This window comes from Homo sapiens, chromosome 17 (genome assembly GCF_000001405.40).
Source record: "Homo sapiens chromosome 17, GRCh38.p14 Primary Assembly".
In the NCBI taxonomy this organism is placed as follows: Eukaryota; Metazoa; Chordata; class Mammalia; order Primates; family Hominidae; genus Homo; species Homo sapiens.
Genome location: NC_000017.11, coordinates 20,990,064 through 21,015,386, shown reverse-complemented (window position 1 = coordinate 21,015,386; position 25,323 = coordinate 20,990,064). Strand labels below are relative to the sequence as shown.

Here is a 25,323-nt window from a genome sequence, read left to right as displayed (position 1 = left end):
CAAACACAACTTAATCACCCAACTGTCTCCTTCCCATTGGGGACTCTCCAAAAGGACTGATGGTTGCTCTGAAATAGCCAGAGAGCTGGGACACAGGACGAGCAAAGCTTCTCTTGGGGTCTCATTGGACCTGGGCCATCTCCCCCAACATAGTCCCACAGCCTGGCCCCAGGGTGGTACCCTGATGATTTTTCAGAGTTGTGTGGTGTTGGTAGTTGGCAGGGGCAGCTCTTAGCGCTGGAGGTGGGAGGCTGGGAATGAATGACTTGAGCCAAGATCGGCTCCTCCCCACTCCTCATGGTGGAGATCCCAGTGTGAGGGACCTGCAGCTGAAGTCTATCCATACAGGCAGAGAGACTGAGAGGTGATTCTCAGATGAGTGTGGGCTGGTCACTTGCAGGTCTTCCTAAAGCCCGTGCTGGCGTTTCTGATTCAGCAGATCTGTGGGGGGCAGGGGCTTCTTCACTCTTAATCAGTTCCCAGCTGATGTTGATGCCGCTGGTTCAGATGCCATACTCTGAGAACCCATGCGCTCAGGTCACAGGGCACCTGGCTGCTTGTGAGTTTCCTGTGGTCTCTGGGCTGGCACAGCTAGTTGTAGCCGATATCCTATCAGTTAATTTTAACTTGGAGTCTTTTAGAGAACAGAGTCCTGTTCTGACGGTTCACCGAGTTGAACAGCTTGGTGGGCTGGCCTTCCCATCGCTTCTCATCCGTCTCAAGGCTGTGCACCCGGGCCCTAGGCGCTTACGTACAACCTATGGGTTCTGAGATCACAGCCCAGAAACAACCCACAGTTGAGCTAAAATGGCTGGTTTTGGTCAAATGTGACTTTGGGTTCTGTTTTCTTTTGGTACTTACTTTTTTTCCTCTGAAAAACTACGTGATCCTTTTAATTCTTACCTAGAAATCAAAGGAAAGTTACTTAGTAGCTTAGGTAGAATTTCATGTCCTAGTATGATTTATAAGAGAGGAAAGAGCCACTGTGGAAGTGACTATGCTGTTACCCCAAGCACCTAGTGAGAATAACGAAGAGCCTTCTGTAAGCAGCAGAAAGATGTTCTAAAAATCACTTGTTCAAAAATGCATTGCTGTTAAATGTTCACATGACAAAATGTGACCTCTGACGTGCTTCTGACAGAATTCCCTTGGAAATGTCTGAAAAGAAATGTAAGGTTCTTCTGTTTAGAAACCTGGTTGCCAGAGCTGTTCAGCGAGGTGGCCTGGCCACATGGCCTTGGTTACGTGCATTTTGTCCTTGTGGCCTTCACGGCATCTTTCTGTTCATCTTTTGTTTTGTTTTGTTTTGTTTTTGAGTCAGAGTCTCGCTCTGTCGCCAGGCTGGAGTGCAGTGGTGCGATCTCAGCTCACTGCAACCTCCGCCTCCCAGGTTCAAGTGATTCTTCTGCCTCAGCCTCCTGAGTAGCTGGGACTACAGGCGCCCGCCACCATGCCCAGCTAATTTTTTGTATTTTTAGTAGAGACGGGGTTTCACCGTGTTAGCCAGGATGGTCTCGGTCTCCTAACCTCGTGATCCGCCCGCCTTGGCCTCCCAAAGTGCTGGGATTACAGGCGTGAGCCACCGCGCCTGGCCATTCTGTTCATCATTCTTTGCGCCTTCCTGTATGGATATTCTTGTCCTCTGAATTTTGTCCCATGAATTTGAGATCCCTCTGGGAAGCATTTTTCTCTCTAATCTTAAACCTTCTGCTCTCAGAAGACTTAGTGGCCCTTCTCTATTCCTCTGTCATGATTCAACGTCTTTGAACTGTGATGTATATACAGGTGTCCTCGTGCCCTGTCCCCACTGTCTAGTGAAGTTATGTAGAATATGTATTCCACACACGAATTAAGTTCTGCTACTTAAGTTTCTTTTTCACAGATCTGCACACATGGATATGAATGAAGTGTGTATTGAATAGAGAGGGTGGGAGTGGCACTTCCAGATGCAACTGACTGGAAGACACGCTGTCCCCTGGGGGCTCTAGCTGATGAGGACAGCCTGTGTCCTGCGGTGTCACTTTCTGAACTTGGGGCACCATGATACCTACTCAGGGAGGGAGGTTGCTGGGGCTTCCCCGGGTGTACCTGGCCCACCATATGTTCAGCTGTCTCACTGGAACAATATTGATTCAGTCATTCTTTATATGATAATGGGAATCGATTATTCTGCTCAGTCACTGGGCATTAGGTGGGTTTTCTTGGCAAGACTGAAGCTGTGGGGCTCTTGTTAGGGAATGAGAAAAAGGAGCATTGAAAATCCAAGTGCTGTGATTTCTCGTCATATTAAAATAACAAGGACACCCTCTGCTAAAATGAGGAGTGTCCTCACATGGCCTTTTAAAGCGTTGGCCCTGGCTCCCCCAGGCTTCTGCAGGGTGAACTGCTCTTCCCTTAGAGACTCCCCATATTTGGGGAGACACTAATCCCAGAGCCGTGGTCTGTCTCCAGGTGATGACAATGGGAAGAAGGCCAACAACCCCAACCACTGCAACTGCATCATAGACCAGATCTTCACAGGCGGGTTGCAGTCAGACGTCACCTGCCAAGTCTGCCAGTAAGTGAGAGGCTGCGTGCTCGGCAATATCAAACCCTCTGGGGCCGTACTGACATCCTCCCAGTCTCCAGAGCTGTGTGTGCTCTGAGAGGTCTTTAAGGAGGCTATGAGATAAATGATTAATAGACGCCATGAGAGCGAAGGTTGTGGGGTGGGGGTGCTTCCTCTTGGGGAGGTCGTAGGGCAGGTGTCCCCTCGGGATGCGAGCCCTTCGTGTTGAGGTCTTGGCTGTTGTCTACAGCCAGCAGTGTGTTCTTGGAAGCTTCCCCTACCATTTTGCATCTTACAGTCCTTGACCAGGGACCAAGTGAAAGAGCCCTCTTCAAGAAGGCGTGGATCATGCATGGTGGATTGTTTTTCTACGTGCTTCGAAGTGTGTTAGTTTTCATTATTTTATGGTTTCTGGTTCCATTTTCTGATGTAGTGGCCCTAATTCTTCTCAGATGTGGTCTCTGCTTAGAGCCTCAAGTGTTGAGTGCAGGGAGAATCCATTGCTTTGTTAGGTCAGGGGACCCTCTCACCCAACCTCAGTGCATGCTACAGGTTTTTTGTTTTTGTTTTTGTTTTTTTCAGGCATGGGGTCTTGTGTATGTTGCCCAGGCTGGCCTTGAACCCATGGGCTCAAGCGATCCTCCCTCCTTAGCCTCCCAAGTAGCTGGGACTACAGGCATGGGCCACCGTGCCTGGCTCTGTTCTTTACTTCAGTTGAAGTTTAAAAACCCTGGACATGATCCACCGAAATTATTTCAGAACCCGAAATGGACTGTCACTTCTAAACTGCATAAGACGAGCAAATATCGGGAAAGGCCAGTGCTGCCTGTGTCACGGGGGCCATTTTCTATAAGGAGCATAGACCGTTTGGGGCCTTGTCTCTGAGTATTAGAAACCGAGTTTGCTCTGAGCAATTTGGACCTCCTCGCTGTCCCTTAACTACTGAATTCCATTAGTAGGAGATTGTCTCAAGATTTAAATCCTGTATAAATATCGAGAGTAAATTTCCCAGTCTGCAAGTTTTCATTTTTTATATTGTTAAATAAATTTCTAGCAAGGAACTGGCCTTGTGAAATGCAGCATTGACTGTCCAGTGCAGGCCACCGGGCCTGGCCTGGGCACGCTCTGTGAAATGTGCAGGGGTCTCCAGTGTTGCCTAGGGTCACAGGCCCCAAGTTCTAGATGCAGCTGAGATAGACCTGTGGATTCAGAGCCTCTGACAGGGCCCATGAGTTTATCCTCCTCCCAAGTCCCTCAGTGACTGTGATGGTCTCCAGACTGGGAAGTCCTTGCTTGAGGAGCGCCCCTCGCCTTCCGAGTTCACACACACCCCTCCCCAGGGCCACCTTGGGAGCCAGGACACGTTGGGTGTGAGCACTGCTGCTCTTGCTCCTGCCCCATCCCACCTGAGTGTCACTGTGACAAAGGGCACAGCGGGGAAGGGATGTGGGAACGGCTTCCACCCCGGGTTGCCTCTGGAGCTGGGTGGGTGTCAGTCCTCACAGCCATTGTTTTCCCTCTGCTTCCAGTGGAGTCTCCACCACCATCGACCCCTTCTGGGACATCAGCTTGGATCTCCCCGGCTCTTCCACCCCATTCTGGCCCCTGAGCCCAGGGAGCGAGGGCAACGTGGTAAACGGGGAAAGCCACGTGTCGGGAACCACCACGCTCACGGACTGCCTGCGACGGTGAGAGGCCTGCACCCACACGGCGGGGGCGTGTCTCCTGGCCAGAAGGCTGTGCTCCATCAGGACCAAAGCAGGGCTCTTTCACATGCCCAGGACAGAGCCTGGGCAAAGGTGCAGCATGAGCCTGGATTGGCTGCAGTCTCTTGTGCTAGTTTGTCCTTTGTTTTGGCCAGATGACTCAATATTTCTGTCCCCCAGCTTCGCACAGCACCAGGTGTCAGTGTCAGCAGCTGCTACTCCAACCTCCGCATGTAAATGAACCCAGAGCCAAACTGGCTGCTCCCTTAGCCCTTGCACTAATCACCTACCCCGGAGTGTGAGCTGAGATGCGCCCGGGCCTCTCCCCATGGTCCACGGCCTTCTCTGCACATGATTAAAACTTAGTTGTGATGTTCTGTACTCTTAGGGCTGTTTTTGAAATTGTGCATGTACTGCTTCATTTGGGATAAGTAATAATATTTACAAAGTGATTTTTTTTTTTTTTTTTGAGACAGAGTTGTGCTCTGTCGACCAGGCTGGAATGCAGTGGTGCGATTTCTGCTCACTGCAGCCTCTGCCTTTCAGGTTCAAGTGATTCTCCTGAGTAGCTGGGACTACAGGTGTGCACCACCACGCCTGGCTAATTTTTGTATTTTTAGTAGAGCGGGGGTTTTACCATGTTGGCCAGGCTAGTCTCGAACTCGTGATATCAGGTGATTCACCCACCTCGGCCTCCCAAAGTGCTCACAGGCATGAGCCACCACACCTGTGAGTGATTTTTAAAAAAAAATGTATTTAAGTAGCTGTAGCATACAATTGTAAAGACAGCAGAAAACCTTCCTAAAATTTGTCTATTATTTTATAGCCTTTGTTTTATTTGCATCAATTAAAGGTAATGCAGAAGAGTCCTTGTTGAGTGGAAGTATCCCTTAGAAGAGGTACGAGCCTTTGGTTTCTGTCTGGCTGCATAGTCAGCACGACCAAAGTTGCATGTTTATTTTGTTTTTTGAGATAGGGTCTTGCTCTTTCATGCAGGCTGGAGTGCAGTGGTGCCATCATAGCTCACTGCAACCTCGATCTCCTGGGCTCAGCCTCAGTGTCCAGGGCTCAGCCTTGGTCTCCTGTCTCGGCCTCCTGAGTAGTTGGGACTATAGGTGTGTGCCACCATGCCCAGCTGATTTTGTGATTTTTTTTTTTTTAATTTTTTTTTTTTGAGACGGAGTCTCGCTCTTTCTAGAGTGCAGGCTGGAGTGCAGTGGCGCGATCTTGGCTCACTGCAACCTCCACCTCCCAGGTTCACGTGATTCTCCGGCCTCAACCTCCCGAGTGGCTGGGATTACAGGTGCTTGCTACCATATCCGGCTAACTTTTGTATTTTTAGTAGAGACTAGGTTTCGCCACATTGGCCAGGGTAGTCCCAAACTCCTGACCTTAGGTGATCCGCCTGCCTTGGCCTCCCAAAGTGCTGGGATTACAGGTGTGAGCCAGCATGCCCGGCCAACCAAAACCTTTTTAAAGAAAGTCTTTGCAGCTAAATTAAATTTAATCATAAATTCCAATAAAATGAAAGCTTTGCCAAAACAGCAGGCCATGAGGTAGAAACCACACTTCACAAACTACAATGTGTGGGAAGCCTGTGTTGTTAGGAGAGACATGATGTGGTGCTGACTCCCGGGAAGGTGGAGGAGAGGTAGAGTGCACCCGGGTCCCCACTTTGTATTGCAAGCAAAGGCTCCTTTTCGAGTCCTTTGGAGAGCAGATCACAAAGCTAGCAACGAAACAGGTGCAGCTTTGCCCAGAGGCCCCCTCGTCTTGCCCTAGTTAAGATGGCAGAATTTCCAGAGCATAAATAAGGGCTTTCCATACCTGCTTGTGAAAAGAGTGAATTTTTTGCTGGTGTTTCAGCTTCAAAATTTGGCGTGTGCTTTGTTGAATCATCTGTTCTGCAGGTTTTGTCAGTGGCAGCTGACACCTGTGCCAGACACGCTTCTGATGCAGCCCTCCTACCTCCTGCCTCTGCACGGTCAGGAAATTACCTTTCCCAGTCCTCTTGCCTTTTTTTTTTTTTTTTTTTTTTTTTGAAATGGAGTCTTGCTCTTGTTGCCCAGGCTGGAGTGCAGTGGCACAATCTCGGCTCACTGCAACCTCCATCTCCCAGGTTCAAGCGGTTCTCCTGCCTCAGCCTCCTGAGTAGCTGGGATTATAGGCATGCACCACCTCGCCCGGCTAATTTTGTATTTTTAGTACAGACGGAATTTCTCTTATGTTGGTCAGGTTGGTCTTGAACTTCCAACCTCAGGTGATCCACCTGCCTCAGCCTCCCAAAGTGGTGGGATTACAGGTGTGAGCTGCCGCACCTGGCCGACCTCTCACCTCTCTACATTAAACTGCTTATGTTGAGATCATTGTAGATTCACATGCAGTTGTAAGAAGCCTTTAGGTACCCTTTACCCCGGTCCCCCGATGGTGACCTCCTCAGCACTGTGGTGCGACGCCCTGGCCAGGATTCAGACATTCATGCGGAAAGTACCCAGCATCTCCAGTGCCTCCTCCCTCACCACCCACTCTGTAACCGCAGTCACCCTGGACTCCTGCATTTCCATACGCCTGACAATTCCAGAATGTCATGTCAACTGAATGATATAACGGAACCCTTTGAGATTGGCTTTTCTTGCACATCCTAATTCTCTGGGGACGCATCCAGGGTACAGCTTGGGATCAGTAGTTCCTTCCTTTTTTGCTGCTGTCTCATACTCCATGGTACAGTGTTCCACAGTTTCTTTAATTATTCAGCCATGGGAAGAAACGGGGTGTTTCCAGTTTTGTGACTCTCGTGAGTAACATTCTGGTGCACATTTGTGGACAGTTTGTGTGTGAACATTAGTTTTCATTTCTCTGGCTCAAATTCAACTGCTGGGTCATATGGTACTTAGAAAATTATTACCATTTCCCCAGGCCTTTCCTGGAAAAAAAATATTTAAGATAAATATTCTGTAGAGACAGGCAGCAAAGGTGGACAACATTTTCTCTTTTTTTCATTGTTTCATTTTTAGTTGTAAGTGTATGTTTTTGGTAGGGAAATCAACCCAATGAAAGAGATAAAATACCTCTTTCCTCTCATTTTTCTGTCTCTTGCATCTCCCTTACCGCTCCTGTCTTTTTTGAACGCCTGTAGATTCACCAGACCAGAGCACTTGGGCAGCAGCGCCAAGATCAAGTGCAGCGGTTGCCATAGCTACCAGGAGTCCACAAAGCAGCTCACTATGAAGAAACTGCCCATCGTAGCCTGTTTTCATCTCAAAGTAAGTTTTCCAGAAAGCCAACTCTAATGGCAGACTTAGTTTTTAGTCCACAGTACGGTCCTCAGCCTTTTGGTTTGCTGTGCAGTTACATTTTTTATAATTGCAGCAAGCAGGAAGAACACCGAGGAAGGGAGGGTGTGAGGGAATTGTCCTCCCATCTGTGAATTGTCCTTTTGTCTGTGCTGCGGTAAACAAAATCAGTGGCTTCGCAGTGAAAGTAGAATGTGAGTTTTCTTGGGAGCAGAGTGGTTGTGAAGTTTTTATTACTTCTACCATTCCTCCAGCTACCCCCTCCTCAGGTTTTCTGTTTTATTTTAAGACAAAGGCCCTCAGCATGCAGATCTGGTCCAGGAGTTGGCAAGCTCTTTCTCTAAAGGCCCAGATAACTGAAGATGTCGAGCTCCACAGGCTGCGTGCGATCATACGATTCTCTGTTACATGTTCTTTGTTTCATTTCACCACCCTTTAAACATGGAAAACGCCCATTCCTAGCTTGCTGGCTGGAATGGGTGACTCCTGATCTAGGCAAAGGACTGTCTTCTGTCTGGTGAAAGGAACAATTTGTTCATTTTTGCTGCCATGGGCCACGGATCTTTGTTTTGTTTTCTGTGCTTTGCTGGGTTTGCTGTAAGATTACTTTTTGTACCCTTGGTGTTACCACTGAACAGTCCCATCATTTGAAGACTTGAACCCTGTAAATGAGGACTTGGGTGGATTGCCACTGTGTTTTTGAATCTGTAATTCTAGATGTAGCTACAAGGCAGTTCAATAAAATACAAAAGAGATAACACAGACACCTGTCATCAGAAGAAGGCCCTGAAGCTTCCAGTGACATTTCTGATCTTCTTTCCTCTTCCCTCTGTCCCCTTCCTATTTCTGCAGCGATTTGAACACTCAGCCAAGCTGCGGCGGAAGATCACCACGTATGTGTCCTTCCCCCTGGAGCTGGACATGACCCCTTTCATGGCCTCCAGGTATGTGGGGTTGTAGGCCCGTTCTGTGTCCTGAGGGGCTGTGATCCTATCAGGACAGGAATCCAGCTCGGAGCTCCTATTAAGATGACTGTTGGCCGGGTGCAGTGGCTCCCGCCTGTAATCCCAGCACTTCAGGAGGTCGAAGCGGGCAGATCATGAGGTCAACAGATTGAGACCATCATGGCCAACATGGTGAAACCCCGTCTCTACTAAAAATACAAAAATTAGCTGGGTGTGGTGGCAGGCACCTGTAGTCCCAGCTATTTGGGAGGCTGAGGCAGGAGAATCGCTTGAACCCAGGAGGTGGAGGTTGCAGTGAGCCAAGATCGCGCCACTGCACTCCAGCCTGGTGACAGAACGAGACTACGTCTAAAAAAAAAAAAAAAAATGACTGTCGATACTAATATAAACCCCACCTTCCCCAAATCTGTTTATCCTGATCTTAAGATACAGCACATGTTAATGAGTTGTTTTTCATCAGATACCCTGTTTTTGTTTTGAATTTCTCAACAATTATCAATCCACTTTCAAACCGGCAAAGTCCTCAAGGTGGGATCACAGCGAGAAGGCAACATTTTAGTTCGTGGAACAGATGTTGAAGTACAGGCAGACATAGTTGGTTTTGCAGTTGTAGATTGCATTTTCCTTTTCAAATCTGCCTATTCTGGGGTACTTGGAATTCAGCTGCTTACTAATGCATGAGACACATAGGAGTTTCCTGTGGTTCTGTGACAAATGACCAAAAACCTGGCGGCTTAAAATTAATTTCCTCACAGTTCTAGAGGTTGGAAATCTGAAATCAAGGTGTTGGCAGGGCTCCATGTCCTACAAGGGTCTTGGGGATTCCATTCCTCACCGCCTCCAGCTGCTGGTGGTTCCACGTGTTCCTTCTGTGGCTGTCACTCCCCTGGCTTCCGGGTCACATGGCCAGCTCCCCTGACTCTGTGTCCAGTTCCCTCTGCTTCTCTGTCATGACCGTGGTCATTGGCTTTAGGACCTAGGCAGATCATCCAGGAGGATCTCATCTCAACATCTTTACTTTGAGTCTCTGCAAAGACTGGTTTTACAAATGAGGTCCCAGTCTCAGGTTCTGAGGGTTGAGACGTGGATGTTGTTATTTGCAGGGTGTTATTTTTTGGTGGCCACAGTCCCAGCCCCAGCACCGTGGAAAGCATGTTGCTTTTTGGTAGTTAGCGGCCTCTTCCTGGTGTCCTCTCATGGCTGTCCCACCCCTGTGGCACACAGATGACCTCCTGAATAAAACAAGACCAGAGTCAGAGCTCCATATCATCAGTCTGACCACGATGGTCACGTACTGAGGGAGGTGACAGTACTGTTCTAAGGTCAGGGTCTCAAAGATCTTGGTGTTTCCTGCCAAACACAGCTGTAGGAAAATGCAGTAAATAATGTGCATGGCTTCCTGTTCCCAGCACTCCTCTCCCCCATCTCACCAGGGGAGGTGCTGGTCATGAAATAATGAGCAGCAATCTTTGTCCCTTTTGAGGAGGCACCTGCCTAGGTTGTAGAATGGATTCAGCGTACCCTTTCAAGCTAACCCTTTACATGTGGGAGGAAGAGCACCTTCACCATCTGCTTTGTCACAAACCAAACTCACATTCCTCCAGATCCAGCTCCCATTACCAGCCCTATTCAGGACCCACCTTGGAAGAACCAGGGGCCACGCCAGGTGGCCTCAGGACCCAGGTGTGCTCTGAGGCAGGGGCCTCCACAGCTTGAGCGTCAGTGTCCTCACGAAACATGGGGAGATTTCTGCCTGAAGCATAAAGTGCACCTCGGTGCAGCATCTGCATGGTCAAGCTTGGATAAGTGTTGGTTTCACGAGAGCCTTGTGTCTCTGGGCCTGATGATTTTAATGATGCTGAATCCTGCCGTTGTCTGTTACAGCAAAGAGAGCAGGATGAATGGACAGTACCAGCAGCCCACGGACAGTCTCAACAATGACAACAAGTAAGTGGTGCTTAGCGGTGTGGGTGTCCAGGGCCTCTGGCCAAGAGCTGGGGGTGGGCTCCTGTCTGCCTTGTAGGGCGCCCAGCGGATCCCCCGCCACTGACCTGCTTCCCGCTTGGCTGCCCGCAGCTCCACTATTGGCTGCCCGCAGCTCCACTAGGAAAGGCCGCTCCACGTGGTGCCACAAATGCTCCCTCCTGTTGGAGGAGCCCAGCCCCACTCTTGGCCTCTGGCAGGAGGGAGGTTCCATCTGGAAAGCTCGGTGTTCATTCTTCTTGCCTTGGGGTTGTAGAAAGTATGAAAGGCTGGGGTGTTCCAGGATCCCCACTGCTGACTGCAGTCACCACTCCCACTAGATGGAGTTCCAGGAAGCGCCTGGACCCGGGCTAGAGCCAAGGGGGGTGACCAGGCTCCCTTAGTTCCTGCAGCCTCCTGTGCATCAGCCTGAGGCCCTGGGGGTTGACAGGCCCACAGGCCTCCCGCTCCCTGCCTGGGCTGCCTGGTTTCTGATGGTGATGACCTCAAGTGACGGCATCAAGTCACCTGCGCCCTCCCTCTCCTTTGCTCCTGCACTAGGTATTCCCTGTTTGCTGTTGTTAACCATCAAGGGACCTTGGAGAGTGGCCACTACACCAGCTTTATCCGGCAGCACAAAGACCAGTGGTTCAAGTGTGACGATGCCATCATCACCAAGGCCAGCATCAAGGACGTCCTGGACAGCGAAGGGTGCGTCCTGTGGGGTGGGAGGAAGGCCCTACGGTGGCTACGGTGCTTCCCCTCCGGTATAGCTGAGACTAGCCCATGTCTGAGCCTAGAACCACTCGAAGGTGTTGACCTTCATTTGCCGAAGTAATGAAGCCTGTTCTGGATAGGATGCCAGCCTCGATGGGTGCTCAGGTGGGAGAAGAGGTGCCTGAGCAAAGGCCCTCTCTGGAGGCATTCCCTTAGCACAGAGAACGTCAGAGCAGTTGTTTTTTAACTGCGTGAACTGAACACATCAGTTCTTTTTTTTTTTTTTTTTTTTTTTGAGACGGAGTTTCGCTCTTGTTGCCCAGGCTGGAGTGCAATGGCATGATCTCAGCTCACTGCACCCTCTGCCTCCCAGGTTCAAGTCAGTCTCCTGCCTCAGCCTCCCAAGTAGCTGGGATTATAGGCATGCACCATCACGCCTGCCTACTTTTGTATTTTAGTAGAGATGGGGTTTCACCATGTTGACCAGGCTGGTTTCAAACTCCTGACTTCAGGCAATCCTCCTGCCTTGGCCTCCCAAAGTGTTAGAATTACAGGCATGAGCCACCGGGCCCGGCCCACATCAGTTCTTTATCAGCTCCTCTCCTTTCCAGTTTCATTCCTTCATGGCATAGAGAAACCTGTTGACCCTCCAGGGGTCAGGGGGACCCCAGCTGCCATGAACTCCCTGAGGGCTTTGCACTTCACATTCTGAGCAACACGGAAGCCAAGCCCTCTTGAGAGGTTTTATTTGGAAGAATCTGGGATAAAGGACAGCCTTCAGGGCGATGAGGTGGATCTGGACGGAGCCACTTGAAAACAGTGGGCTCTGCACAAGGGTGGGGCTGTCACAAGTGGGGGAGAGGCTGTGGGAGGTTGGGTGAGGCAATGGGTGACCTCGTGGCAGGTGGGGGTGGTGGTCGGGCTGCAGAGATGGGCAGGGCCAGTGCCACCAGCCAGTGAAGCACTCTTTCCTCCTTGCGGACTAAAAAGCCAAAACCATCAACTCGGGCCTGGCCGACCTGTGCAGAGCGCAGAGCACGTAGGCTTTTGTGTAGGGTGGGTTGTTCTGGCTCCTGTCTTAGGAGTTAGAGGTGAGCCTCCTCCCTCTCTCTGCCTCCACAGGTACTTGCTGTTCTATCACAAACAGTTCCTGGAATACGAGTAGCCTTATCTGCAGCTGGTCAGAAAAACAAAGGCAATGCATTGGCAAGCCTCACAAAGTGATCCTCCCTGGCCCCCCCCTCCCCCAAGTCTCCCGCCGCCTCCCCGGCCTGGTGACACCACCTCCCATGCAGATGTGGCCCCTCTGCACCTGGGACCCATCGGGTCGGGATGGACCACACGGACGGGGAGGCTCCTGGAGCTGCTTTGAAGATGGATGAGATGAGGGGTGTGCTCTGGGTGGGAGGAGCAGCGTACACCCGTCACCAGAACATCTCTTGTGTCATGACATGGGGGTGCAACGGGGGCCTCACAGCACAGAGTGACCGCTGCCTGGCGTTCCCCAGCACTCGGTGTGGAAAGGCCCCTACCTGCTGTAAGATTATGGGTCCATGAAAGCAGTAAGCTGGACACAGAGGTGTAGTGTGCGGGACAGAGGGCCTTGCAGATGCCTTTCTGTTGGTGTTTTAGTGTTAAAATACGGAGAGTATGGAACTCTTCACCTCCATTTTCTCAGCGGCTGTGAAGCAGCCTCCTAGCTTCGGAAGTACGGACACTACGTCGCGTTTTCAAGCGTGTCTGTTCTGCAGGTAACAGCATCAAGCTGCACGTGGAAGCATCTCGCGGTTTTCTAGAAACAGGCATTTTCTTATCCCTCTCCCGCTCCTTTTTCCACAAAGGTGAATTTCATAAATGTAATACTAGTAAAGTGAATGAATTACTGAGTTTATACAGAAATTTAGGTAACTTCTCCTTTAGTCTCAAGAGCGAGTCTTGCTTTTTAATGGGTGCCGTTTATGTTGCTGCCCGCCCTGTGTGCCTGGCTCCTCTGGGTGCCTTGGTGTCTGCTGGTGGCTGGCAGTGGGCGCAGCGGAGGAGAGTTGTGCTGCAGCTCATACGGTGTGTCTGTCATCTCAGTCTGGAGTAAATGCAGTGTCTGCCGGTGTCTGATGGGTTCTGTCCCTCGTATTTTCTTTGCCTTCTATCCCATTGCCTGGCTACCGCTGCCTGGCAGCCAAGGGTGTTGGTCGCGAAGCTGGAGTGGCCTCTGGTGGAGCCTGCATCTTGTCTCGTCTGCCTCTGCTTTACATTTGGTGTACTTTCGGGCGTGGTGGCAGTAAAATGACACCGTGATTGAGCTTGTCAGCAGAGCTGAAAGAGAAAGTAGAAGGATGTGCATTGTTTCTTGTAAGATATCTTGCATGTATCTGTGTATTCAAATTCAAACAGAGATGGTTTGTCCATTTGTCCACTGAGAAATTAGAAACTAGGGACAAGGGGGAGGAAAAGTACTGAAATACAGTTTATGAAGCAAGTGTGTCTCGGGCTGTGCTTGTCCCAGGAGCCCCAGCAGCATCTGAACTGAGGCTTCTTCAGTCCTGCAGGAACAGGATCATCTGTCTCAGCGGTGGGCAGATGTTTTCATAGACAGCCAGGGAGTAAACACTGTTGGCTCTGTGGGCTGTATGGTCTCTGCCATAAATAGTACAGAGATGTGGCTGTGTCTAGTACAACTTTTAGACACAGAAATCTGAATGACATATATTGTTCTGTGTCAAGAAACTTAGATTTTTTTTTTAACTATTTAAAAACGTGAAACCTATTCTTAGCTCACAGGCCATGGAGAAGCTGGTGGGGACCAGACCCAGCTCCTTAGCTGGCTGGGCTGGGGAGGGGGTAGTGACAGTGGCAGCTGCTACTCACTGCTCAGTGTGGAAAACACAGGACTTGGCAATCACAGCCCGCAGAACCATCATGTGTGGCAGAAGCCTGAGGGATGCGGTTTCTTGCCCACGTGCTCTGTTCATTTTCTGTTGTTTTTCTGCACTTAAAGAATTCACATGGAAGCATGTTTTATAAAATGAATTACCAGAGAAACAGAGATGGGCCGAGATTTTCAGAAATGGTCCCATGTGACCAAGTTCTGCTGTTTGGGTGACAGTGCTTTGAAGATCTCCTTTGAGGATGTGCAGTCTTTTTTTTTTTTTTTTTGAGATGGAGTTTGTTGCCCAGGCTGGAGTGAGTGGCACAGTCTCGGCTCACTGCAACCTCCACCTCCTGGGTTCAAGCAGTTCTCGTGCCGCAGCCTCCCAAGTAGCTGGGACTACAGGCATGCACCACCACGCCAGGCTAATTTTTGTATTTTTAGTAGAGATGGGGTTTCACCATGTCTCAAACTCCTGACCTCAGGCGATCCACCCACCTCAGCGTCCCAAAGTGCTGGGATTATAGGCGTGAGCCACCGCACCTGGCCTATGAGTGGTCTTTTAATTAGGAACAAATCTAATGGAAAGGAGAGTTGACTGAAGTTGGCCCACAGGATTGTGAGCTGGGCAGTGCCTTCATGAAGGCTTGCCACCTTGGGACGCCCCAGTTTACTGGGGTGTCTTGCGGAGTGCAGAAGGCTTTCTGGCAGCTGCCTGGGTTTGGCCAGACCCTGCCTCCCCTCCCGCCGGCCAACCCCTAGTCCCCTTCCTGTCTCCACTTGCATTCAGGGGTGGCTGCTGTTCTGAGAACATTAGAACTGGGAAGAGAGATGGAGTCACATGGATTTTTGGTGGGCATTATTCTAAACTTTCGTATCCAAGTTAGTCCCCCTTATTCCACTGTGGCATTGCCGTTCTAAGCAGTTACCTGATGCCTGCTGCTGAAGAGCTGCTCACAGGAGGCGGCGGCGGCCCTGGCACTGCCCCTTGCATTAGGTCTTGTGTTTGATGTGTTCTTGTGAATTTACTTTGTCAGAACAAAATATTTACGCGTTGGGTTCAGGAATTTCTTTTAGCTCCCCATCTGGCTGTGAAATTCAGGAAACCTCCCGTTGCCTAGTAATCACCCCATGTAGGTGTACATTGTGACAAAGTGCATCTGACCACTAAGGGGCCCCCTTGGTGACCCCAGCACATTCACAGCAGTGTTAAAATGGCCTGCATTTTGGAGATGCTGGCTGGCCTTTCAGTGCCTCCCAGGAAGACACATGGCCTTTCCCTCTTCAGATGCCTGAAGGGAGTGCTTTGAGGCAGGTGATGTGCTGGGAGTGTGGGCGGCCTCCCTCTGGCCCCGGGGCCCTCTGTGGACCTTGGCTCCCTCCGTGGACCTGGGCTTCGTGGTGAGCACTGCAGCCTCCCTGGGCATTCCCTCCAGCGCCAGCACCACTGCAACATATAGACCTGAGTGCTATTGTATTTTGGCTTGGTGTGTATGCTCTTCATTGTGTAAAATTGCTGTTCTTTTGACAATTTAAGTGATTGTTTTGTTTACTGTAAGTTTGAAAATAAAAATGAAGAAAAAAATTCCAATGACTGTGCTGTGGTTGGAGACTTTATTTACCAAGATGTTTACTCTTCCTTTCCCCTTCCATTTTGAGGAGCTGTGTCACTCCTCCTCCCCCCCAGTGCTTTGTAGTCTCTCCTATGTCATAATAAAGCTACATTTTCTCTGAGAACTGGCCAGTTTTCCTTTTATTGACACAAGCAGCCGAAGAGAGGGTGGCAGGAGGGAGAAGAGCGGCCAGGGGACACCGGCCTGCATGGGGGCGTCCCTGGTCTGAGTCAGTGGCCAGAGCTGCAGCCTGGCTTTGGGCCCAAAGTCTTGTCTGGGTGTCAGGGAGGCCACGCACTCAACGTTTCGTCCCTTTCTGTGAGTGGCCTGCTGCGGTTTGAGCCTCGTCCCTCCTTTTTTGGGCAAGAAGGTGATATCCAGGATTCAGGACAGCCATGGACCTTCAGACCTGAAGCCCTTGACATGCTGAATCCTTGCCAGGCTTGGATTGCAAGACCCGGGCTGTGGTTATGTGCATTTTGTAGCAAGCTCCCTGTGTGGAGAGTAGCAAAGGCAAAGAAATACTATAATCAGTGCAGAGAAGATGTGCACAGCTATTAAAGTGCACGGTTCTGTGACAGGTCACGAGGCCATGGCGGACTCTATAACATCCTCTCCCAGCCGCCCCCACATACTTCCCTTGCCCTCAGCGGGTCAGGAATCTTCTCGGCCTCATCTTTGGTTCTGAAACCTCTGAGTTCTGAATAGTTCTGCCCCCTCCTTTTTCAGATGCTTCTGTGGCAAAGCTTTGTGGCAAGTTACTTGACTTCCTTTACATGGAAACACTCAAGAACACCAGAGAATGCCCCGAGGTTTCAGACTTAGTCCTGTCTCCTCATATTAAATAGAACCATTGTTGTGTTCCCCTGGGGGAAGCTTCACTCTTCCTGGGTCCTAAGACCTTCCAACCAGCAAAGTTCCATTTCTCCAGGACAGGCAATAGGAAAACTTTGTGACTGAGACATTCGGTGCAACACTGAACATCGTCCACTTTCACACCTTCACTCAGAACTACACCTTCTGGTTGTGGGGGAGTCATCACCATACACTGGCTTCCAGTAGAAAGGATAAAATTCATCTTGTAAGACAACCTCACCACTTCAGCATAACAGCGATCCTAAGTCCAGTTGCTTCCAGGCGGTGGGTGACGTAGCGAGAAGAGTTAGTTCCCTAGTCAAGGGCCACTGCTGCATGTCCGTCACTGTGAATGGGGTACCCTGGTCACAAGCAATGCCATGTGGGCTGCTGTGATGGCAACAGGCAGGGCTGGCGAGTCTATGTCCAGGTAGGGGCTCCCCGTAGTGAAGGCCGATCTCAGCCCTCTCCACAGTGTGGGCAGCCTGCCCACAGGTAGCCAGCCGCTCCTCCTGGGAAATGGTGCCAGTCCAGGGATCGACACCAAATCTCTCATCAGCAGATGGGGCACTCGGCAGTGGTGTCGGTCTGGTCAGGGAACAAGCAGGATTGCTTAGGCTCTTCCCCAACATGCCTGTCTGATGGCTGCTTTGTGGGCCCATCCAGCAATCATGGTGGCCAGGGAAAGGAGCTGAGTCCACCTAGTGTGCTGTTTTCCCCACCGCAGGATCAAGAGCACCCTCTGCAGGGATTCTCTTTGGTGGGAACATGGGAATGTGGATGAAACTATCTTCACAGTGTGAGCTGCTGAGGCAATGACTGCAGGATGCCTCTGTCCTCTGGGAAGCCCGGCTGGAAGGCACTTGGCAGTGGTGCCTGCTGTGGCTGCGGCAGGGGCTAGGCTGCAGAACAAGGCCTCCAGGAGGCGGGTGGTGCAGCAGGCAGGGCCTCGAAGCCTCCGGGTACCATGTTGGCATAGTGGACTAGGGCACTCGGGGCGCTGTTGGGCCAGGCTCCGGGGTGCAGACTGCCTGCACTGCAACAATGAGGCCGGGAAGAGGCAGCAGTGTTCACAGCTGTTGACCCCCTTGAGCCAGCCCTCCACATCCTCATCACTGCACGGGCTCAGCGTCTCTGGCCTGGCTTGCCCAGGTTCTCTGATGTGAATCCTTACAGCATCAGGGCTTGCAGTGCCCTGGTGCCCTGCGTGGTCACCTGGAGATCTGCAGTGCCCCTGTCCTCCTAGGACAACTCGAGTTGAAGCCAGGTCCCTCTGGGCCTGGGACTCAGGCCCTGGGGGACAGGCTCTGACCCACAGGTGGGGTCAGAGGCCTCAGGGGCCTCTCCAGGGCTGGGCCCACAGCCCTGGGCCTCTGGAGTCCTGGGGTCCCCGGGTGTCCTCTGGCCTGACACTGAGGACACCTCTGCAAGCTGCTGATCCCAGGGTGAGGGCTGTGTGCAGCCTGGGGTGGGGGAGCTTTCAGGGAACCTCAGGTCGGTCCTGAAACGGCTCCCAGGCTTCAGGCTGGCTCAGGGCTTCCTGCCTCACGCCCTCCCTCACCTCAGGGCTGTTCAGCAGCCCTGACTCAGAACTCAGGTGAAAGGGACCTTCACTGTCACCCAGCCCCCTTGCCACCTCGCATGGGGTCTGTCTCCACAGTGGGTGAGAAGTGAAGGGCACGGGTTTCCCTCTGCCCTCCAGGCCGTCCACCCCATGCCAGGGCTGGACAAATCCCATGCCCGGCTGAACTCTTGGTTCTGGCTCTGGGTCAGGGCTTCCCCCCGTGCCCTCTGCCCAAATCCTCTCTGGATCTGGGACACTGATTCTCTCTTGTCCTCCTGGCTTGTTGTCTTGACAGGCTTGGAGGGGCACTCAAGAATGAGGGATCCTGCTGCTTGGAGGCAGGGGTGGGGTCTTCCACACCTGGATCTGACTGCCCCAGTGCCCTTCAGGGCCCTTTGAGGGGGTGATGGGGACAATGTGGAAAGAGGGGGAGGGAAGTTGGGGGGTCCTGCCCACAGCCCCTGCCTGTCTGCACCTCATGTCCCGCACACACACGCTCAGTGCCTGCCCTGAGGAGTGGCAGACCCATTTTACTTTCTTAGAGTAGAGGAGGAAGAGGTGCAGGAGGAAGGCCAGGTAGGAGGGCTGGTAGGGCCAGGGCACTCCCCACCACTGACTGCCCCAGAGGGTGACTTGGGAGGAGACTTGGTGCTGGAGCCCACCTGGGGGTGGCAGGTCCCAGTGTTTCCTTGTGAGTTCCTTCACGGAGGTTTGAAGGTTCCTGAGGACCACGTTGTCCTCCGGGGCCCAGCTCTGAAAAAGTCGCTCCTGAAACTCCCAGATGGTGCTCCAGGAAAGCTTCATGAGGCACTCTAGGGACAGGGCGGGTATCAGGCCAGGAGGATTCCCTTGTGGGGGGATCAGTGCCTGCACCCCATTTCCACCAGGCCCACCTCCCACTGGGTGGTGTGTGGTCCTTCTTGGCCACCCTGGGGTCCAGCTGTGCACAGGAGGCCACAGCTGGGGAAGGCCAGGCAGGGAAGTGCTCACCACACTCCTGACTTTCATCTGGGTCATGTGGGGGGTGGGCTCAGTGTCATCGTGCCTTGCCCAGCCCACCAGACCAGAACCCCCTTCAAGACAGAGCAGAGAGTCATAGGGACAGTGTAAGGACACTTCCCTCAGGCCAGCCGGGGTCTGTCCTGTGTATTCCCCCTGGCACCCTCGGGCACACAGGACTTACCCATGTATTTTGAATGATGCATGCGCCATGCCCAACAGTACCTGCTCGCCCTCCAAGATGAGCATATCCCACAGTTGCAGGGTGAGCCCGAAGGATTTTGTGGGGACAGGAAGTGTGGGAGGACCTGCCTTTCTGGGCTGGGCTCAGAGGCCTGAGCAGGGCCGCCTGGGGTTTCAGTCTCCTGGAATGCTGGGAACACCTCTCCATGGGATGAGAGCCCCCTATAAAGCAGGGTCAGACAAGGTCCTGCAGCTCCTCATGGGGGACCCACCTCAGCAGCGCTGTTGCTTCTGGAAGGAGGGGCTTCCTGAGGACTTTGGGCTTCCTTGGGCCCTCCCAAGTCGGGTCCTGGTCCAGTCTGCCCATAAAGCTGGGCCTAAGCCCTGGCCTCTGCCATGGGATACCCCCTCTCAAACAGGGCCTGGTTTGTGTGTCATGCAGGGACCTGCCTGTGCCTCCTACGGGCTGGGGGTGAGCCACGTCCTCCTGGTGGAGCTGGACCCCTGAGCTGGGGCAGCCGGGCACTGTGTCCATGGGCTGGGGTCTCCCTGTGCCTCCTTACCCCATCAATGAAACACTGGAGGAGCCACCGCAGCATGAAACACTCAATGCACAGTCCTTCCTTGCCCTGCAGGGAGAGGCAGAGGTACTCAGGGCCTCCTGAGCTGCCCTGCAATCCCCCTTTTCAGGCCCCTCTGCAGACCCTTCCTCAAGGAGCAGAACCCTGGGTGGTGGCCAGGGGTCTCCCAACACGTCCGTGCACGACGCCCGGTGGACACACTCCCTTAGCCCTGCTTAGCCAGAGCTCAGCCCTGGTCCCAGCGTCTCTGGATCCTCTGGGGCAAGAAAAGGAAACCCAACTTCCAACTCATGGAGAATCCCCATCCCAGGTCAGGCCATGGCTGGGACGCGGCCTCTTGCCAGCCCCAGGAGGGGCTCGAGTCTCCCCTGGCCCATGGGACCCAGGGTTTCGTTCACTCACCAGGTGTCTCATGATCTTCAGAAAGCACTTATGCAACACCTGCTCCTGGTACAATAGGAGCCTCCGGAGCTGGGCAGTATTGGACTGTAGAACACTGAGAAGCCCCCAACCCATCACCAATCAGACCCAACTCCAAAGATGTGGAGGCATCAGCTGGAATTGCTGGGTAGTGGCAGGGTACTCCGGGCCCCAAGGCCTCCCTCCCTCCCATCCAGTGACCCCACCACACAGCCTCAGCCCAGGGGAGGAGGGCCCTGGCTGGAGGCGCTGCCCAGCAGCTTCCTGGGTCGAGGTGCCAGGAGGATAGGCCTGCCTCTGACACCACGAAGCAGGGCTGAGGCAGGTGGGTGCCAGCAGAACAGGGTGGGTGCTGGGATGCTGGATATGGGGTCAGGCTGGGGGATATGTGATGGGCAGACATTGCTATCTGGACTTCGTTGGCCCATTCATGTGCAGGGAGGGTGGCTGGGAGCACAGCCAGCTGGGAGGCAGGTGGACCCTCAGGAAGGTGAGTGGCGCCTGCACAAAGTCAGGGCTGGCTTCGGGCGACAGAGGGTAGCCAGGGGGAGGTATCAGTCCCTCTGCTGTTGGGGATGAAAGGTGTCTGACTTGAGGTGAGAGGGTCCCTGTCCAGACCCAGGCTCCTGTGGGACCCTCAGTAGGGATGTCCTGGAGGCTCCAAACAAGCTGGGATGCAAGGAAGGCGCCTTGCCTGGAAGTCGGGCTCACCGGCCAGGGTGGCCGTCCCCTGGCCTTGCTGTGTAAGGCCCTGGGGGCAGCCGTCCACCTACCCTGCAGGGAGTGCCTCTCACCGTCCAGCAGCTGATCCACCACGCCCAGAGCACGGTCACCCAACATCACACCCTTGTGGACTATCTGGGACTCATTCCAGGAGAGTGCCGTGGGGGTGAGGCTGTGCCACTCTGGGCCTCCGCCTCAAGAAGGCCTGACAGCCTCGGTGTTTGCTCCCTTGGGAGCTTTGAGCACCACTCAAGTCGTCCAGGTGGAGAGGCCCCATGGAGAGGGACAGGCCCTGAGATCACCTGGAGGAGAAGCGAGGCCTGACCATCACAGCATCAGAGCCAAGCCTCCAATGGCTTCATCCCCAGGACCATCTTCTCAAGAGACCCCAAGCAAGAGCAGCAGAAGACCCACCCAGCTGAGCCCCGCCACCCCACAGAGCCATGCAAGGTCACATAATGGTCATTTTTAGGGCACTGAGTTTGAATGACCAGAACAGAGACTTGCTGCTCTTGAGGACATGAAGAAGGTGCCCCAGCTTCTCATTCCTCTCTGCCCAGGCCAGTGATCTGAGGCTTTCTGTGGGAAATGAAACATAGCTCCTGCCTGGCCCTTAGGATACACACGTCATTCAAAATCCCTAGCCTAAGAAAATCAATGCAAATTAGAACTAGGAAAAATATCAGTTTCTACCTGTCACGTCGGGGGCGGGGGGAGCACAGGCACCTCACATATTCGTGGTGGAGTGTACTCTCGAGAGCCATTTGGAACCACCCGCCACCATTTACAATGTGCCTCCCTGGCTCCCCTTGCTGCATCAGCTTCACTTCTAGGGCTGCGTCTCCCCCAGCACACAAATGGTATCTCTCCAACATTGTTCAGGTTGCAAAAGACGGGATCCAGCCTAACCTTCCATCCACAGGGGATGAAGGGTTAAATGCATCATGACACACTCATGAGACGGAATACCACGCAGTCACTCCAGCCAATGAGGCAAGGCCATGTGTCCTAAGAGGGAACGATCTCCAAGAGATGTGGGGTGAGAATAGCCAGGGAGGCACTCCAGTGCCACCCCGGTGGAAGGCAGACAAGGAGCTGTAAATAAGCCTCACTTGAGATTATGTGAGAAAGGACAAGCGGGAATTCACGGCATGGAGAGGCCCTGCCCTGCGGCTCACTGTCTGCTGTTTCCTGGGAACAAAGGGGCCTAGTCACAAGCTTTTGTCAAAAAAAAAAAAAAAAAAAAAAAAGCTCATTCTCTAGCCTTGTCTGAAAATCAAGCCTGGGGGAAGGGTCCCAGAGGTGCAGTTTGTAGGCCTTACCACCAGGAGGCAGCACCCACAGCTTCTGAGGCCTTAGGACCAGGCAGGCTGGCATAAAGTTTATTTCTACGCTTTTTCTTTTGTTTTTCAAACTGTTTTCAAAGCCATCTCTCACCCAAAAATACTTGCCCCAGCCTGCTGCATTTCCCAGCGCAGGCTCGGGCCAGCCTGCTAGGCAGCACTGGGACTTGTCATTTAGGGGTGGGCCTGGCGGGGGAGAGGGAGGGGGCAGGAGGGCAGGGGGCTATGGTTCTGGATGTTTCATTCAGTCGCCTTGGCCCTCAGTGTCTGCATCTGCAGAGTGGGGCCTGATACCCCTCTCTCTCCACAGAGGGGCTTGGCATTAGCAAGGGTCCCTGCAAACATGCAGGAGGCAGAGAACCTGGGTAGAAAGTTCCAGCCCGTGGCCATGCACTCACACCTTGGGGGCCCAGCCAGCAAGGGGAGCCTGGAGGCAACGTGGGCACGGGCGGGCAGGGGCTGCCGGATCTCTCGCCCGGCCAAGGTTTCTGCCACCCTCCTCGGGGGTCCCAGGCTGCAGGTCCCCGTGGTGGTCCCCACTTCCTGGTCCTTCTGCTCTGCAAGCATCTCTCCTTCCCTCCCTGTGGTCTTGGCGCCATGAACGTTTCAGGTGTGTCCCTGACACATGGTGGGCTGCCAATATTTAAGAGGGGCTTTTCTATGTGAGGTACAGCCTTCCTGTGAGATCATTACAACCTCCAAATGTGCACACCTTCAGGCCTTCCCTGCAGAGGACCCTATGTCCTCCGGGTGTCTGCGTATGTGCATGCACGTGTGTGTACACGTGCATATGTGTGCGCATCTGCATGTGTGTGCGTGATGCACACGTGTATTAAGTTCGGGAAAAGGCAGGAGGGCAGGCTGGGCGTAAGTCTCCCATTCCGTGTGTGGCCTTTGACTGAAGTGGTTTCCAGAGTGTCACCTCCTTTCTTCCTTTGGGCCTGGGGTCCCTGGGTCTTTCTGGGGCCACCTCTCTAAGGCGACCCTCCATCCTGCTGGTGGTAGGAGGCCGTCTGTGTACACCAGGAGGGACACACAGACTTCAGCCCGTTCCCAGCACCCAGATCATGCCCATCAAAAAAAAGTCTCCCTGGACCCCCCATCTTGTGCAGCATCTCATTAGGGTGGCCCTTCACCCCTGTGACACTGGCCCACCCTCTCCCCTGTGGTTCTGTCCCTGCCTTTGCAGGTCCCTGGACCTTGGCTTCAACCCCGGGAAGCAAAACCGGAGCGTCCTGCTTCTCCCTTGTGAGGGCACATGGTGCAGTCGGGACAAAAGAAAAAGCACCCTTCCAACCCAAGACACACAGATGAAATGCAAACCAGGAGACCTGCAGCCAGGGCCACCCCATCTAGTTCTAGCACCTAAAATAAGTGACATCTTGAGCAGTTCCTGGAGCAAAAACAGTGTGACTCCATCCCTCAACTCCCAGCCCGGCAGAGCTGAGCTAAGGTCTCAGCGGAGCATTGACTTGAAGCTGCCATCCAGGCGGGCTCCTGGGACCCCTGCTCCTACCGGCGACAGCGCTGCCTCTGCTTTCAAGGCTACCATGACTCCATGTCACGCCGGCGCTCCCTGGCACGTCCTTCCTCCCCGTGAGCATGGGGCTCACGCTCACCCCATGTCTGGCCTGACCCTAGTGTGCACTGGCTTCCAACCCCCAGGCATCAGCTTGACCATTTCTGATTTCTTCCAGATGGGGGTCCTGTCCACCCACACCCCACCCCTGCCACATTTGTATCTGATGAGGTTCCCATGAGCCAGAGTGAAGGGACGGACAAATGATGCGTCTAAGAAAAAAGCAGGGCAGAGGAAGGGTCCAGTTTGTCAGCCTTTCCCAGCCTCCCAGCAGTGACACAGGGCTCCGAGCTCACAGCTCCCACCATGCCCCTGGCCAGAGCCACCAAGGGCAACCTCAACTTGGGGGCACCTGAAAATGGCCCTTTATAGCATCCTCTGACCTCCTTGTGGCAGAGCTGGGGACATATGTAGGTGTCTTATGATGTCCTTTCTCTGTGCTGTTAAGTACGGCCTTCTAGAACTTTCTTTGTGGACACAGCCCTGCTGGAGCTGCTCTGACCTCCCCACCTGCTCTTTCTCCATGTCTCTGTGGGACCCTCTTCCTCTTCTGACCCCTCAAATGCAGATTCCCCCACATAGGACCTTCTTTTCTATCCCTTTCTCTCCTTACACCTCCCAGTCCCTGCACAACCTTTTCCATTTCTGTGACTTCAACTGCCACCTTCTAGGCCAACACAATGTAAACTCTCCAGGTGAAAGGCTCCACAGAACTCTGAACCCACATGGGGGCCCTGGCTGACCCCAAGGCCGGTATCACCCTCACATGGGGGCGGGGTCCTAACTCAGAGCTGGTTTCTATGAAGTACCTGCCCTGGCAGGCAGCCCTGTCCCTCACCCTATGTAGTAAGCTGAATGGTGCCCCCCCTCACCCGAAGGGTATGCCCCCTGCACATGTGACCTTATTTGGATAAAAGATTCTTTGCAGACATATGAATACAAGGATCTGGAAATGAGATCATCCTGGATTAGGGTGGGCCCCAGATCCAGTGACAAGTGTCCTATACGAGAAGAGAAGGCAAGAGACACAGGCACAGGAAAGAAGCCATGTGAAGACAGAGACAGAGATGGGAGTGAAGTGGCCACCAGCCCAGGAGGCCTGGGGCAGCCACCAGAAGCTGGAGGAGGCAGGGAAGGATCCTCCCCTGGACTTTCAGAGGGAGTGGGGCCCTGCTGACCGTGGAATCTCAGACTTCTGGCCTCCAGTCCCGAGAGAATCAATCAGTGTTATTTTAAGCACCCAGCATGTGGACCCTGTCACAGCAGCCCCAGGAAGCAAATACAGCCTGTCCTAGGATGGCACCCATCCAGCCAGGGTGGTGGACCTTTCAGTCCTGGGCATGGTTCTGTACTTGGCAAACCCCAAGTCACTGAGGCCCCACAAGAGCCCTGTGAGATGACAGCCA

General features: G+C 53.0%; 2 protein-coding genes across 16 annotated transcripts in view, besides 1 other annotated feature; one reads left to right on the top strand and one right to left on the bottom strand.

Moving 5' to 3' along the window:
• The window catches only part of USP22 (ubiquitin specific peptidase 22), a 43,824-nt gene extending 28,033 nt beyond the window's left edge, over positions 1-15,791 (top strand). For all 3 annotated transcript variants that reach the window (XM_005256575.3, XM_047435703.1, NM_015276.2), the window contains 7 exons: positions 2,452-2,557; positions 4,078-4,236; positions 7,391-7,517; positions 8,400-8,491; positions 10,397-10,459; positions 11,036-11,185; positions 12,314-15,791. In XM_005256575.3, coding sequence (XP_005256632.1) covers positions 2,452-2,557; positions 4,078-4,236; positions 7,391-7,517; positions 8,400-8,491; positions 10,397-10,459; positions 11,036-11,185; positions 12,314-12,356 — 740 coding nt within the window. In that variant the 3' untranslated portion in view covers positions 12,357-15,791. The remainder of the gene's footprint in view (positions 1-2,451; positions 2,558-4,077; positions 4,237-7,390; positions 7,518-8,399; positions 8,492-10,396; positions 10,460-11,035; positions 11,186-12,313) is intronic.
• The window catches only part of LOC124900389 (uncharacterized), a 61,221-nt gene continuing 51,498 nt past the window's right edge, over positions 15,601-25,323 (bottom strand). For 6 of the 13 annotated variants that reach the window (XM_047437235.1, XM_047437240.1, XM_047437233.1 and 3 more), the window contains 3 exons: positions 19,835-21,297; positions 18,752-19,562; positions 15,601-17,767 (listed from right to left, as the gene is read on the bottom strand). In XM_047437235.1, coding sequence (XP_047293191.1) covers positions 17,139-17,767; positions 18,752-19,106 — 984 coding nt within the window. In that variant the 5' untranslated portion in view covers positions 19,107-19,562; positions 19,835-21,297 and the 3' untranslated portion in view covers positions 15,601-17,138. The remainder of the gene's footprint in view (positions 17,768-18,751; positions 19,563-19,834; positions 21,298-25,323) is intronic. The other 7 variants (XM_047437245.1, XM_047437236.1, XM_047437238.1 and 4 more) reach the window with 7 other exon arrangements.
• Positions 16,804-17,621: an enhancer, noted in NCBI's record as "H3K27ac-H3K4me1 hESC enhancer chr17:20901079-20901896 (GRCh37/hg19 assembly coordinates)". NCBI's record gives its function as "activates a minimal SCP1, AML or CMV promoter by ChIP-STARR-seq in primed H9 embryonic stem cells {active_cell/tissue: H9 hESC(primed)}" and the evidence as "EXISTENCE:reporter gene assay evidence [ECO:0000049][PMID:30033119]".